Genomic DNA, 13,424 nt, shown 5'->3' on the forward strand with positions numbered 1-13,424 from the left:
ACATATCCAGCCACCCAGCCATCCATCCATTTAGCCAGTAATAAAGATTCACGTAGGAGCCAGGTGCAGTGGCTCATACCTGTAATCCCAGCACTTTGGGAGGCCGAGCGAGGCAGGAGGATCACTTGAGGCTGGAAGTTCAAGACCACCCTGGGCAACATAGTGAGACCTTATTTCTGCAAAAAACTAAAAAGATTCACCTAGGATCCTCTGGCCAGTGTTCGAGCTGGGTGTCAGGAACCCAGCGGTGAATGCACCACCATCCCCTCTCTTGAAAACCTTCCATGTGAGGCAAGAGATAAGTCAACAGAGGTTGCAAAACTGTGATCAATGCTTCCTGGAGATTGGGGGAGGGCTTGTGACTGCTTGGGCCTGAAGGATGATGTCTCAGAGGAGGTGACATCTAGGGGTTTGTAGAGGGGGAGGTGAGAGGGTAGCCCTAACTCAGGAGCAGGAAGTGAAAGACTTGCTGCTGTGAGGCCATGCTGAGCTCAGGGGACTGCCGGGCACTCGGTGAGGTGAGCCCGAGGGTAGACTGGGCTGGAGGCTGGATGCAGGGGGTGGGGGCAGGAAGAGGTGGTGGGAACTGCCAAAGCCTAGGCTGGAGGGAGCACTCTCCTTCCTGCTGTCCCTGACAAGGGCTCGGTCCACCTGTTCCCTCTTGGTCACCTCCAGGGTGGGGAACCTGGGATTTGACGAGACTGTCATTTCTTTTTATGTTTTTCTTTTTTGAGATGGAGTTTCACTCTTGTCACCCAGGCTGGAGTGCAGTAGTATGATCTTGGCTCACTGCAGCCTGCAACTGCTGCCTCCCGGGTTCAAGCGATTCTCCTGCCTCAGCCTCCTGAGTAGCTGGGATTACAGGCACCCGCCACCACACCCGGCTAATTTTTGTATTTTTGTAGAGACGGGGTTTCACCATGTTGGCCAGGCCGGTCTCGAACTCCTGACCTCAGGTGATCCTCCCGCGTGAGCCGGCAGACTGTCATTTCTCCATGGGCACCTCTGAATGTTGAGGCGGGTGATGGGTGGGAGGTTTAGATTGTGCTGCCTGCAGGGGCTCCCATCCCCATGCCGTGGATGCAGGAGGTGCCGTCTGGGTTCCTGCAACCACATTCAAGCCAATACACATTTACTGAGCGCTTGTTGTGTACCTCATCCTGGGAGCTGTAGGCAGCAGCCCAGTGTTCCTTAGCTCCTAGAAATTCTAGGTCCCCTCTACATTCTTTGCATGTAGGCAGGATGACCTGGACCTGCACTATCCAGTACAGTAGCTGCTCACCACATGTGACTCTTTAAATTTAAATTAATTAAAATTAAACTCAATTCAGTTCCTCAGTTGCATTAGCCACATTTCAAGTACTCAGTAGACGCATGTGGCTGGTGGCTGAGGTATGGATGGTGCAGACGTAGAACCTTTCCATCATTGTAGAAAATTCTATCAGACAGCATTGCTCCGGCCACCTGCCAGGTGGTCCTCCGGGAGTGCTGGTGCGGAGTGCTGGTGCCGAGTGCTCAGAGTGGGTTCGGGTTCAGTCCCTGAACCCAAGCATCCTCTGCACCCAGATCCTGCGGATCTGCACGCGGTACACGCCCGAGCAGGACACCATGACCTTCTCGGACGGGCTGACCCTGAACCGGACCCAGATGCACAACGCTGGCTTCGGCCCCCTCACCGACCTGGTCTTTGCCTTCGCCAACCAGCTGCTGCCCCTGGAGATGGATGATGCGGAGACGGGGCTGCTCAGCGCCATCTGCCTCATCTGCGGAGGTGGGCAGGGGGCCTGGGTCTGGGGGCTGGGCTGGGACGGGGGTGCAGCCCTGGAGTCTCTTCCAGGGAGCTCTTTCAGGCCACCTCTGTTAGGTATCTCTAGAGGGCAGGGTCTGGTCTGCAACTACACAGCAAGGGGGCCATGTGGGGCCTGGACTCCTGTTCCCGATTTCTGGGCAACACCCCTTCTAGGGAGGTTAAGAGTGAGGGTTTGAGGGTCGGACCAACCAGGGTCACCTCCTGGCCGATGCATGACCCTGAGCAGGTTGCTGAACTTCTCTGGGCCTCCGTTTCTGTACAGTGGGGGCGGTAACGGTCTCTAGCTCATGAAGTTGATGGGAGGATTACGGTGGTAACAGATACTGTGCAGGTGCCCAGAGCGAGCTCCAGTGCTTGTTAGTTGCTATTTTATTGTTGTGATTTCTGCCATTTCATCTGGTTTCCAGAATAACAGGGGGGAGTGGGAGCCTGCCTGGGAACCCTCTCCCTGCTTGAGGATGGCACTGCCCATTTGGGGTCCCATCCCACTAACTGGGCTCAGGGAGGGTTTGGGGCACCCCCTCACCCTCAGCTCCCGTTGCTCCCTTTTAAGGGCCTCTGTACCCTGCGGCAGCAGAGACCCCATGCCCTGCCCTGTGTGGGGAGGCGCCTGCGAGCTGCCCTCCTCCATGGCCTGGGCAGGCACGCCCCCCGGTGGCCGAGGCTGGGGGTGCAGCTGTGTTCCCAGCTGCTCAGGGGGTGGTTCTGCTTCCTCAGACCGCCAGGACCTGGAGCAGCCGGACCGGGTGGACATGCTGCAGGAGCCGCTGCTGGAGGCGCTAAAGGTCTACGTGCGGAAGCGGAGGCCCAGCCGCCCCCACATGTTCCCCAAGATGCTAATGAAGATTACTGACCTGCGAAGCATCAGCGCCAAGGGTGAGGCTCACAGACCTGGAGGGGTACCGGCCCCCGACACCTGGCCCAGGCCCCCACATCCAAGCCAGCACCCCATGTCTTTGTGCCAGGACAATACGACACCTGTCCCCATCTGTGTCTAGGCTGAGGTCCCCTAGTGACTCCACTTTGCCGAGGTGGCCCGCCTGTGTCACCTTTGTGTGGTAGTTCAGATCGTGGCTCTGGAACCAGACACGTGGGTGTGTGTCCTTGTGTGGGTCACTCAACAGCTCCTAGCTACAGTTTCCCTTCCGAGGGCGGGGATAACATTCGTGTTTACAGAGGGGTCGGGATGATCCCTAGCACACAGCACAGGGGAAGGAAGGGCTTGGCGTCTAGCCCAGGCCGGCAGTCTGGCCCTGGAGCCGGAGTTCGGGACCACTTTGCCCCATTGCCACCAGCCTCTGGACCTGGGGGCTTAAGAGAGCTGGCTCGTGTCAAAGAACTGAATCCCAAGAAAGATGCTAATATCAGCAGTATTGATCTTCCCACCTCGAGCCAGGCTTGCTGGGGCTGGGGGTGGGAGGGCTGGCCCAGCGTGCTGACCTCTGCCCCCTCCTTTCCTGCAGGGGCTGAGCGGGTGATCACGCTGAAGATGGAGATCCCGGGCTCCATGCCGCCTCTCATCCAGGAAATGTTGGAGAACTCAGAGGGCCTGGACACTCTGAGCGGACAGCCGGGGGGTGGGGGGCGGGACGGGGGTGGCCTGGCCCCCCCGCCAGGCAGCTGTAGCCCCAGCCTCAGCCCCAGCTCCAACAGAAGCAGCCCGGCCACCCACTCCCCGTGACCGCCCACGCCACATGGACACAGCCCTCGCCCTCCGCCCCGGCTTTTCTCTGCCTTTCTACCGACCATGTGACCCCGCACCAGCCCTGCCCCCACCTGCCCTCCCGGGCAGTACTGGGGACCTTCCCTGGGGGACGGGGAGGGAGGAGGCAGCGACTCCTTGGACAGAGGCCTGGGCCCTCAGTGGACTGCCTGCTCCCACAGCCTGGGCTGACGTCAGAGGCCGAGGCCAGGAACTGAGTGAGGCCCCTGGTCCTGGGTCTCAGGATGGGTCCTGGGGGCCTCGTGTTCATCAAGACACCCCTCTGCCCAGCTCACCACATCTTCATCACCAGCAAACGCCAGGACTTGGCTCCCCCATCCTCAGAACTCACAAGCCATTGCTCCCCAGCTGGGGAACCTCAACCTCCCCCCTGCCTCGGTTGGTGACAGAGGGGGTGGGACAGGGGCGGGGGGTTCCCCCTGTACATACCCTGCCATACCAACCCCAGGTATTAATTCTCGCTGGTTTTGTTTTTATTTTAATTTTTTTGTTTTGATTTTTTTAATAAGAATTTTCATTTTAAGCACATTTATACTGAAGGAATTTGTGCTGTGTATTGGGGGGAGCTGGATCCAGAGCTGGAGGGGGTGGGTCCGGGGGAGGGAGTGGCTCGGAAGGGGCCCCCACTCTCCTTTCATGTCCCTGTGCCCCCCAGTTCTCCTCCTCAGCCTTTTCCTCCTCAGTTTTCTCTTTAAAACTGTGAAGTACTAACTTTCCAAGGCCTGCCTTCCCCTCCCTCCCACTGGAGAAGCCGCCAGCCCCTTTCTCCCTCTGCCTGACCACTGGGTGTGGACGGTGTGGGGCAGCCCTGAAAGGACAGGCTCCTGGCCTTGGCACTTGCCTGCACCCACCATGAGGCATGGAGCAGGGCAGAGCAAGGGCCCCGGGACAGAGTTTTCCCAGACCTGGCTCCTCGGCAGAGCTGCCTCCCGTCAGGGCCCACATCATCTAGGCTCCCCAGCCCCCACTGTGAAGGGGCTGGCCAGGGGCCCGAGCTGCCCCCACCCCCGGCCTCAGCCACCAGCACCCCCATAGGGCCCCCAGACACCACACACATGCGCGTGCGCACACACACAAACACACACACACTGGACAGTAGATGGGCCGACACACACTTGGCCCGAGTTCCTCCATTTCCCTGGCCTGCCCCCCACCCCCAACCTGTCCCACCCCCGTGCCCCCTCCTTACCCCGCAGGACGGGCCTACAGGGGGGTCTCCCCTCACCCCTGCACCCCCAGCTGGGGGAGCTGGCTCTGCCCCGACCTCCTTCACCAGGGGTTGGGGCCCCTTCCCCTGGAGCCCGTGGGTGCACCTGTTACTGTTGGGCTTTCCACTGAGATCTACTGGATAAAGAATAAAGTTCTATTTATTCTACACATGCCTCCAGCCTTGCTGCCTCCACCCCCTCCTCTTGGCGTCTGGTCTGGGGGCTTGGGATGGGTTTCGTCATGTGCTCTGGGCCTGTGATGGCCAGGAATGAGCACTGGGGCCAAGGGGCTGGCCAGGGCACCCTTCCAAGCTGCCTTCTGAGGCTTACCTTGTGCTGGGGTCTTTGGAGATGCTGAGAAGGAGAAAGTCCTGCCCCTTGGGAAGCCCTCAGTCTGGGGATCCACACTGCCCATGTCAAGGAGCCCCAGTCTGGGAGTGGGAGAGAAGAGGAGGAAAGCTGCCCCCACCTTCAGGGAACCCCCAGTCTGAGGGAGGAAGCCGGAGCCACCCCTAGACATTTCTGGTCCTTGGGAAGCCTTCACCATCACGGCAGGAATGACAGATGGCACAGGAGCTGGGGTCAGGGACTCATAGAAACCTAACAAGAGGCCTGGCGCAGTGGCTCATGCCTGTAATTCCAGCACTTTGGGAGGCTGAGGTGGGCGGATCACTTGAGGTCAGGAGTTCAAAACCAGCCTGGCCAACATGGTGAAACCCCGTCTCTACTAAAAATACAAAAAAGTTAGCTGGGCGTGGTGGCGGGCGCCTGTAATCCCAGCTATTAGGGAGGCTGAGGCAAGAGAATTGCTTGAACCTGGGAGCTGGAGCTTGCAGTGAGCCGAGATCGTGCCATTGCACTCCAGCCTGGGCGACAGAGCAGGACTCCGTCTCAAATAAGAAAGAAAGAAAGAAAAAGAAAGAAGGAAGGAAGGAAAGAAAGGAGAAAGGAAAGGGAAAGGACGAAAGAGAAAGAAAGGGAAGGAAAGAAAGGACAGAAAGGAAAGAAAGAAAGAAAGAAAAGAAAAAAGAAAGAAGAAAGAAAGGAAAGAAAGAAAGAAAAAGAAGAAAGAAACTTAACAAGAACACAGGATTGGGATGGAAGCTGTGGGGGCCTAGCCGGGAGGGAGTAAGGCAAAGGGTTCCTTCTGCTAGAGGCTGCCTGCCATTTCTACATTAACCACCAGGTGGCGGCAGCGCCTTGCTTGACTCACCGGCCGCCCTAGGCTGGAGGCAACCGCGGGGACCGAGGCGCTTTTCCTCCAGTAAATATTTTCTAACATCTTTACGAGTCTGAAATGAAATCTAACATACTGTACCTGTACACGTGATTTCACAGATCAATATGTTGTCACAACCGTATTATAAAGGATAAATTGAGGGGCAGTGCTATGTGTTTCAATAGATTAATGCTTGCCCCTCTTTTGAATGAATACATTTGGATTTAAAAGAAGGTTGGAAGCCATTCTGTACAAGAAGCCCAGGAACATTAAAGAGCATGGGTGGATGTTGGAATAAAAATCGGCATGTTTGATCTATAATAAAACAATGCAAAAAAAGCCCAAACAAAACCCTTAATGGTTTTTTCTTTATCTTTTCTTTTCTTTTATTTTTTGAGACAGAGTCTTGCTGTGTCACCCAGGCTGGAGGGCAGTGGCGCAATCTCGGCTCACTGCAAGCTCCGCCTCCCGGGTTCACGCCATTGCCATTCTCCTGCCTCAGCCTCCCCAGCAGCTGGGACTACTGGCACACGTCGCCACACCCGGCTAATTTTTGTATTTTTAGTAGAGACGGGGTTTCACTGTGTTGGCCAGGATGGTCTCGATCTCCTGACCTCATGATCCGCCCGCCTCGGCCTCCCAAAGTGCTGGGATTACAGGCGTGAGCCACCGTGCCTGGCCTCAAAACCCTTAATGTTTTACATGTAAAACAGGGTTTGGGCCCAGGGTTTTCACTTATGCCAATGTCCAGTTGGACATTCTAAAGTTGTGCCTGAGGCTGGGCGCAGTGGCGCAAGCCTGTAATCTCAGAACTTTGGGAGGCAGAGGCTGACGGATCACTTGAGTCCAGGAGTTCAAGACCAGCCTGGGCAACATGGTGAAACCCTGCCTCTACAAAAAAAAATACAAAAATTAGCCTAGCCTTGTAGTGTGCATCTGTGGTGTCAGCTACTTGGGGGGGGGGCTCAGGTGGGAGAGTTGCTGGATCCCTGGAGGTTGAGGCTGCAGTGAGCCGTGATAACACCACTGCACTCTAGTCTGGGCAACAGATGGAGACCCTGTCTCAAAGAATAAAAATAAAAACAAAAAAGTTGTGCCAAGCAGGTTTTTATTTCAAGAGGATATCTTGACGTCCATAGCCCTTGCCCACTAAATGCCAATGGGGTCCCCCATCATTGTGAAAACAAAGCAGTGGCCCCCACATTTACAAAATGCCCCTTGGGGTAGTGCCTTTGCTGTTTGGAACCTCTAGTCTTGGGGTTGTCCTCAGTGGTCCACAGTTCACTGCTGTCGAGCAGAGTTGCTCAGCTTCAGCACCAATGTGAAGATCTGAGCCAGGTTGTGGGGGCTGTCCTGTGCATTGCAGGATGCTAAGCAACATCTCCAACCTTCCGCCCATGAAACCCTAGTGGTGCTTCTCTCCCACCCCAGCTGTAACAACCAAATATGTCTCCAGACACTGCTAAACGCCCCCCTGGGGGGCAAAATCACCCCCATGTGAGATCCACTGCTGTGGAGTGTGGTCCTCCAGGGCTGATGTGCTTTGCACTGAGCCAGGGCCCATCCTCCGCAGAGAGACTGAGCCAGAGGAAGGTGACCGGGATGCCACCTGGGCAGAGCTGCAACAGGCTTGACAGGCCTACGGGAGTGCAGGGCAGAGGCACTGAATCACGCTTGGGGCAGGGCTCAGAAGCCTTCCTGGAAGAGGTGGCCTCTCTCAGCTAAATCTCTTTTTAATTTAGTTTTATTTATTTTGAGACGGAGTCTCCCGCTGTAGCCGAGGCTCATTGCTAAATCTCTAGAGGAAAGAATTGGCTAGGTGGGTGCAGATTTGGAAGACTTAGTATGAAAAAAAGAATGTAAACTATCTCCTTAATACTTTTTAATATCAATGAGGCATTAAGATGAAAATACTTTGGGTGTGCTAGGTTAAATAAAATACGTGACTAAAATTAATTTCATTTGTTTCCTTTTACTTTTTTAATGTGGCTAATGAAAAACTTGAAACTACATACATGGCTCATATGCTATTTCCATCGGATGATGCTGATCTTGAACATCTTCTGACACACAGTAGGTACCCTACAAATATTTGTTGAATGAATACATCTGGAAAACAGCGGCACAGCCCCATCTGGGTTTGTGTGGAGGGGTCTGGGTTGTGGACACAGAACTGTCATCAGAGAGATGGTGCCCACCATAGCATGGATAGTGTTCGGGCATGGCAGTGGTGTAGGCCTGGGGACACCTTCAGTTTCTCATCCAACACATATTTACTGAGCACATACTACGTGCCATGGAAGGGGAGAGAGCAATGCCATCCTGCAGGAGAAGTGCTTTCCCTACGGAAGCGAGGGGCATCCAGCTCTGTCTTGGGGTGGGGGCTACCAGGGGAGCCCTCTCCTTGAAGGTGTCTGTTTTCTTCCCAAGTGACAACAATAGGTGGGTGGGCATTAGCTAGGGGAGGAGAAGGCTGCAGGAAGCAGCGGCTACTCTGGGCAAAGGAACAGCACGTTCAAACGCTTGGCAGCAAGCAGGTCTGGTGCTTGTTAGAAGAGAAAATTCCCTATGGTTCTGAGCACACCTGGAAGCCGGTGCTGTGGAGTCGAAGGCCTGACAGGGGCAGGGCTTCAGAAGGAAGCTTTGTGAAGGCGCTTGACTCACCCTGAGGGCAGGGGTGCTGCCCTCAGTCCCGGGTTTAAGTGGGGGGCGCTATTCAGAAACACCTCCCACTGCTGTGTGGGGCACAGGAGAGCTGAGAAAGACGCCAGGAACTCAGAAGGACAGGGTGGGGTGATGGCGGGGAACGCACAGCCTGGTAGGCAGGATGCGGTGAGGCCCGCAAGGTGCAGTCCGATGACGGCCCCTGGATTTCTCGCTTAGGTCCTGGGTGATCTTATGGAGAGCAGCCCACTGGCTGGTGAAGGGGGAGGGCAGACGGGAGGGGAGACACAGGAGGGGGATGCGCTGCATAGGCAGCAGCTCTTCGAATGCCCGCAAGTAGGAAGAAGGGGGTGGTTGGAAGGGAAGGCAGGGCCGGGAGCGCGTGTGTTTTGGGAGCTTTCTCCTGAGGACAGAAGGGACTTTCCCGTTTATAGCCTGGGGGAGCAGTAGCGGCGGGGAGGATGAAGATGGAGGAGGGAGGCATAACACACGTCTGGGTTGCCCTCTGGCCCGCCGCCCACCCCCACCCCACCTCCATGAAAGCGCCCAGCCCCCGCCTCGCCACAAGGGGTACTGTGAGGATGTTGCTCATAGGCTCCCGAGGATTGAGGCCTGCCCGGGGAAAGGGAGCCTCTCCTCCTCTTCCCTCCCTGGGCGGGGTCTCTTGGGAGGGGGGGACAGACCTCCTGTGATGCCCTGGCAGGTGGGCTGGGTTAGGGTGGTAGGGAGGGAGCCATTGTGGCTGCAGCTGGCATCGGATCCTGGCCACCCCCGCAGTGCATATCAGAGATCACACACACACGCGTGCACACACAGAGGTCACGCCGGATGTACACATGCACACATAGCGCACAAGGATGTTTCTGTGTACAGGTGTGCACACGCAGCCCACACAGAATGGACATGTGCGTGTGTGCACAATGCACTCACACAAAGCTCACAGGGATGTGAGTACACAGCTCTCAAGGGGCATATGTTTCTGTGTGCATGTGCACACAGCTCACCCGGGAGGGTTACGTGTGTCTGTGTGCACAAGTGGGCCTCACGCAGGGTGTACACATGCGCGCACATGCACAGCGCTCACACAGGGTGTACAGGTGCGCGTGCACACAGCTCACAGTGCTTATGTGTCCGTGTATGCACACTCGCAGAGAGCCCACAGGGGGACCACTCTCTCTCTGAACACAGAGAGTGCCTGAGAATGCTGGCATCACAGTTGTTTTTGTCCCCAGTAAAACAACCACTCTCCACCTTCCGCTCTGTTCTCCCCCTCGGGTCCACTCTCTCTCAGGGTCCTGGTCTCCTTCCTTTCCACCTGGGTGGTGGCATCCAGGACCTGCCTGAGTTCATTCTCCGCCCCCAGCCCGGCCTGCCCCAGGTGCCGCCGGCAGCCACTGGGAGGCAGTACGAGGCAAGTGCGATGCCGCCCGCGGGCCGTCCCCACAACGCGTCTCCTGCCGGGGCAGGTCCCGCGACAGCTCTGGTGGAAGCAGCTTCCGGCTTCTGCGGTGCGGGCGGAGGTGGCGGGGTCCGGCCCTCGCCGTCCAGTCCGCGCGAGGCGGTGCCCGCCCCTAGATGGCCAGATCTCGGCGGCCGGTGGCCGGTGACGCCTTGCCGCGGCCGCTGCCGCACTCGCGGAGGCTGGCCGGCGCCGGGTGCGCATAGGCCGGCGGGGCGCACGGCTCGGGGCCGGGGCGCCGGGAGGGCAGGGCCGGTGGCGGAGGTGGCGGCGGCGGCGGCGGGAGCAGCTTCTGCGCCTCTTCGTGTGCACGGTTGCAGCGGTTGTCACGCTCCCCGGCGCGCGGGCGGCCCTTCCAGAGCAGGTGGCCCAGCTCGGCTACGCTGAGCAGCGCCGACAGCAGCCCCACCGCGAAATAGAAGAGCACGAAGACGGTCTTCTCGGTGGGCCGGCTCACGAAGCAGTCGACCGTGTGCGGGCAGGGCGGACCGGCGCACGCGAAGTGCGGGGCCACGCGGAAGCCGTAGAGCAGCGCCTGGCCGCCCAGGAAGGTCAGCTCGGCCAGCAGGCGCAGCGCCACGCTCAGCAGGTAGCAGCGGCGCGCGCGGCGGGCGCGCAGGGCGCACGGCGCGCACTGGGCCTCGGGCAGTCCGGGGGCGCACTGCGCCGCCGCCTCAGCGCCGCCCGCCTCCTTGCCTGCCCGGTGCATGGAGTAGACGACGAACAGCACCGGGGGCGCCGAGAGCAGCAGGATGTGGAAGAGCCAGAAGCGGTAGTGGGAGACCGGGAAGGCGCGGTCGTAGCAGGTCTGGCGACAGCCCGGCTGCAGCGTGTTGCACACGAACTCCTCTTGCTCGTCCTCGAACACGGCGCCGCCCACCGTGGCCAGCACCAGGATGCGGAAGATCAGCATGACCACCAGCCAGAGGCGGCCCACGAGCGGCGACTGCAGCTGCACGGCGTCCAGCAGCGAGCCCAGGAACGCCCACTCCCCCATGGCGCTGGGGACGCGGGGCGGGGAGTCAGGGGATGGGGCAAGTCAGGGACCCCTGCCCCTTCCAAGCCTATCGGGGTGGGGTCCGTTGGACCTTCTCTGACTTCAGGGTGAGTCGTGAGGTAGGAGAGGCCCGGGTTTAGCGATGAGACCAGTATGAAACGGAGGGCCACGGGAGGGCCCGAGGGGAGCAGGCGACGCTCAGCTATGGGTTACCTTCTCTTTGGGACCGATGGGTGCTGGGGAGGATCCCCCATTTGCATTTTAGCCGCACCCCCTGAGCCGTCTCCGTTCGACCCTGGGATCCTCCAGATCCCAGATTCTTAGGAAGGACCTTGGAGATCAGCTGGACCAGCCCCTGACTTGCCTGGTTTCGGAAGCGGAAACCCAGCGGTGCCCTTAGCTGTCAAGGATGCTGTGGGAAGAGTGGAGCCTCGAACCCGAGACGCTAGACCCAATTTGGTGCCCATGGGAGGAGTGGGAGTGGCAGAGGCAGCGAGACCACTCCTTTCTTGGCCCACCATTTCTCTCACCATTTTTACTGCAGTGAACTCCTCTCAGGGTGGGGGGCTGGTACAGAGGCAACTCCGCTTTCATAACTCTCACAGGGTCCTTTGTCGGAGGTGTCCCTGCCCTCCTACCCCAGCGTGGTGGGAGTGCGACGCCAGGCTTCTCCCTCCTCCCTGGCCTCCTGTGCCTCCAGCCTCCACATCTCCTGAGATCCTCCCCACCCCACACTTACACAGGTCCCCACACGCCCCTGGTGCCCCTAAACCGCCACCCAACCCCACTCACCCTGGGGCCGGGACTGGGGTGTCAGAGCTGAGCCAGGGACCTTGGGAGGTGGCTGGGACCGGCGCCTCCTGCTCCCTCTTTCATTTTCCCTTTCGGATTTGGCCAGGATGGAGGACAGGACAGGATGGCTGAGAGGGGCTAGCGCTCCCCCTTCTCTTAAAGGAACAGGGTGACCCTGCTGGCTGGCTCCGCCCTTGGGAACAGGCACGGACCACGCCCCTTGCTGGGCTCTGTGGCCCTCACTCTTTAGCTAAATTTCCATCTGGAAATGGGGGAGGGGGGTAACCAGAGCCACATCCTTTATCGAGGAAGCTGGGGGATTCCTAGAAGCCCTTCCCAGACAGACCCTCAGTCTGGAGCCTAGATCCACTACGCACTAACCATGCCCTGTGAAGATGGTCTTCGGGGACAGAGGGAGGTTTGGTGCTGGAGTTTAAGGGGCAGCAAACATCTAACAGCTTCTGGTTCCAGCTCTGCCACCGCTCACCTTGGACAAATCATTCGGCGGTACTGAGCCAGGCTTTCCTGCCTTGTCAACAAAGGCGGCCAGTCCAGCTGACCCCCAAGTTTCCTTCCAGCTTTACATCTTTTTTGGAACGGGGTCTCTCTACATAGCCCAGGTCGATCTTGAACTCCTGGCTTCAAGTGATCCTCACACCTTAGCCTCCTGAGTAGCTGGGATTCTCTACTTCTTAATATTGAATTCCCAACCATATTACAGAGAACCAAAAAAACCCTTGTGCCTGCAAAAAAAAAAAAAAAAAAAAAAATCCCATATGGAAAACCATTAAAATATCCCAAGTGCCTGGCTTTGATAGTTAAATAAAATCTTTGGTTTCCTTCCCACTTTTCTGTTATTTCCAGCTTTACTATAATGAACATGTTATTTATTTATTTATTTTTAATTTGTTTGTTTTGAGATGGAGTCTAGCTCTGTCGCCCAGGCTGGAGTGCAGTGGCATGATCTTGGCTGAATGCAACCTCCGCCTCCCGGGTTCAAGCGATTCTCCTGCCTCAGCCTCCCCAGTAGCTGGGATTACAGGTGTGCGCCACCACGCCCGGCTAATTTTTGTATTTTTAGTAGAGGTGGGGTTTCGCCATGTTGACCAGGCTGATCTCGAACTCTTGACCTCAAACAATCCGCCTATCTCAGCCTCCCAAAGTGCCGGGATTACAGGCGTGAGCTACCACACCCGGCCTAACATGTTATTTTATTATTTATTTATTTATTTATTTATTGAGACAGAGTTTTGCTCTTGTTGCCCAGGCTGGAGTGCAGTGGTGTGATCTCAGCTCACCGCAACCTCCTCCTCCCGGGTTCAAGCGATTCTCCTGCCTCAGCCTCCTGAATAGCTGGGATTACAGGCATGTGCCACCATGCCCAGCTAATTTTGTATTTTTAATAGAGACAGGATCTCTCCATGTTGGTCAGGCTGGTCTCGAAATCCTGACCTCAGGTGATCCACCTGCCTCGGCCTCCCAAAGTGCTGGGATTACAGGCTTGAGTCACCGCGCCCGGCCTCATGTTATTTTATAATGTGAAAAATAGGAC

The 13,424-nt window shown here is 57.3% G+C and overlaps 2 protein-coding genes and 1 long non-coding RNA gene across 14 annotated transcripts in view, besides 6 other annotated features; 2 read left to right on the forward strand and 1 right to left on the reverse strand.

Moving 5' to 3' along the window:
* Window positions 1–4,908, forward strand: part of RARA (retinoic acid receptor alpha) — a 48,464-nt gene extending 43,556 nt beyond the window's left edge. For all 12 annotated transcript variants that reach the window (XM_011525095.2, NM_000964.4, NM_001145301.3 and 9 more), the window contains 3 exons: window positions 1,567–1,771; window positions 2,528–2,686; window positions 3,274–4,908. In XM_011525095.2, coding sequence (XP_011523397.1) covers window positions 1,567–1,771; window positions 2,528–2,686; window positions 3,274–3,491 — 582 coding nt within the window. In that variant the 3' untranslated portion in view covers window positions 3,492–4,908. The remainder of the gene's footprint in view (window positions 1–1,566; window positions 1,772–2,527; window positions 2,687–3,273) is intronic.
* Window positions 34–545: an enhancer, noted in NCBI's record as "H3K4me1 hESC enhancer chr17:38509021-38509532 (GRCh37/hg19 assembly coordinates)". NCBI's record gives its function as "activates a minimal SCP1, AML or CMV promoter by ChIP-STARR-seq in naive H9 embryonic stem cells {active_cell/tissue: H9 hESC(naive)}" and the evidence as "EXISTENCE:reporter gene assay evidence [ECO:0000049][PMID:30033119]".
* Window positions 2,358–2,427: a silencer, noted in NCBI's record as "silent region_8487". NCBI's record gives its function as "represses an Ori minimal core promoter by ATAC-STARR-seq in GM12878 lymphoblastoid cells {active_cell/tissue: GM12878}" and the evidence as "EXISTENCE:reporter gene assay evidence [ECO:0000049][PMID:35858748]".
* Window positions 7,917–12,002, reverse strand: GJD3 (gap junction protein delta 3). Its single transcript, NM_152219.4, has one exon. The coding sequence runs from the start codon at window positions 11,078–11,080 to the stop codon at window positions 10,196–10,198; it is 885 nt and encodes a 294-aa protein (NP_689343.3). The 5' UTR covers window positions 11,081–12,002; the 3' UTR covers window positions 7,917–10,195.
* Window positions 9,922–10,216: an enhancer, noted in NCBI's record as "tiled region #13940; HepG2 Activating DNase unmatched - State 4:PromP". NCBI's record gives its function as "activates a minimal TATA promoter and a strong SV40 promoter by Sharpr-MPRA in HepG2 cells {active_cell/tissue: HepG2}" and the evidence as "EXISTENCE:reporter gene assay evidence [ECO:0000049][PMID:27701403]".
* Window positions 10,044–10,113: a silencer, noted in NCBI's record as "silent region_8488". NCBI's record gives its function as "represses an Ori minimal core promoter by ATAC-STARR-seq in GM12878 lymphoblastoid cells {active_cell/tissue: GM12878}" and the evidence as "EXISTENCE:reporter gene assay evidence [ECO:0000049][PMID:35858748]".
* GJD3-AS1 (GJD3 antisense RNA 1) lies at window positions 10,110–12,700 on the forward strand. Its single transcript, NR_186704.1, has one exon. It is a non-coding gene; the product is annotated as a GJD3 antisense RNA 1 (long non-coding RNA).
* Window positions 10,234–10,313: a silencer, noted in NCBI's record as "silent region_8489". NCBI's record gives its function as "represses an Ori minimal core promoter by ATAC-STARR-seq in GM12878 lymphoblastoid cells {active_cell/tissue: GM12878}" and the evidence as "EXISTENCE:reporter gene assay evidence [ECO:0000049][PMID:35858748]".
* Window positions 10,344–10,453: a silencer, noted in NCBI's record as "silent region_8490". NCBI's record gives its function as "represses an Ori minimal core promoter by ATAC-STARR-seq in GM12878 lymphoblastoid cells {active_cell/tissue: GM12878}" and the evidence as "EXISTENCE:reporter gene assay evidence [ECO:0000049][PMID:35858748]".
* Window positions 12,701–13,424: the final 724 nt, after the last annotated feature.

The sequence above is a fragment of the Homo sapiens genome, chromosome 17 (genome assembly GCF_000001405.40).
Source record: "Homo sapiens chromosome 17, GRCh38.p14 Primary Assembly".
NCBI lineage: Eukaryota > Metazoa > Chordata > Mammalia > Primates > Hominidae > Homo > Homo sapiens.

Coding starts and splice junctions, on each gene's coding strand:
- GJD3 (NM_152219.4), bottom strand. CDS start 11,080: ATGGGGGAGTGGGCGTTCCTGGGCTCGCTGCTGGACGCCGTGCAGCTG.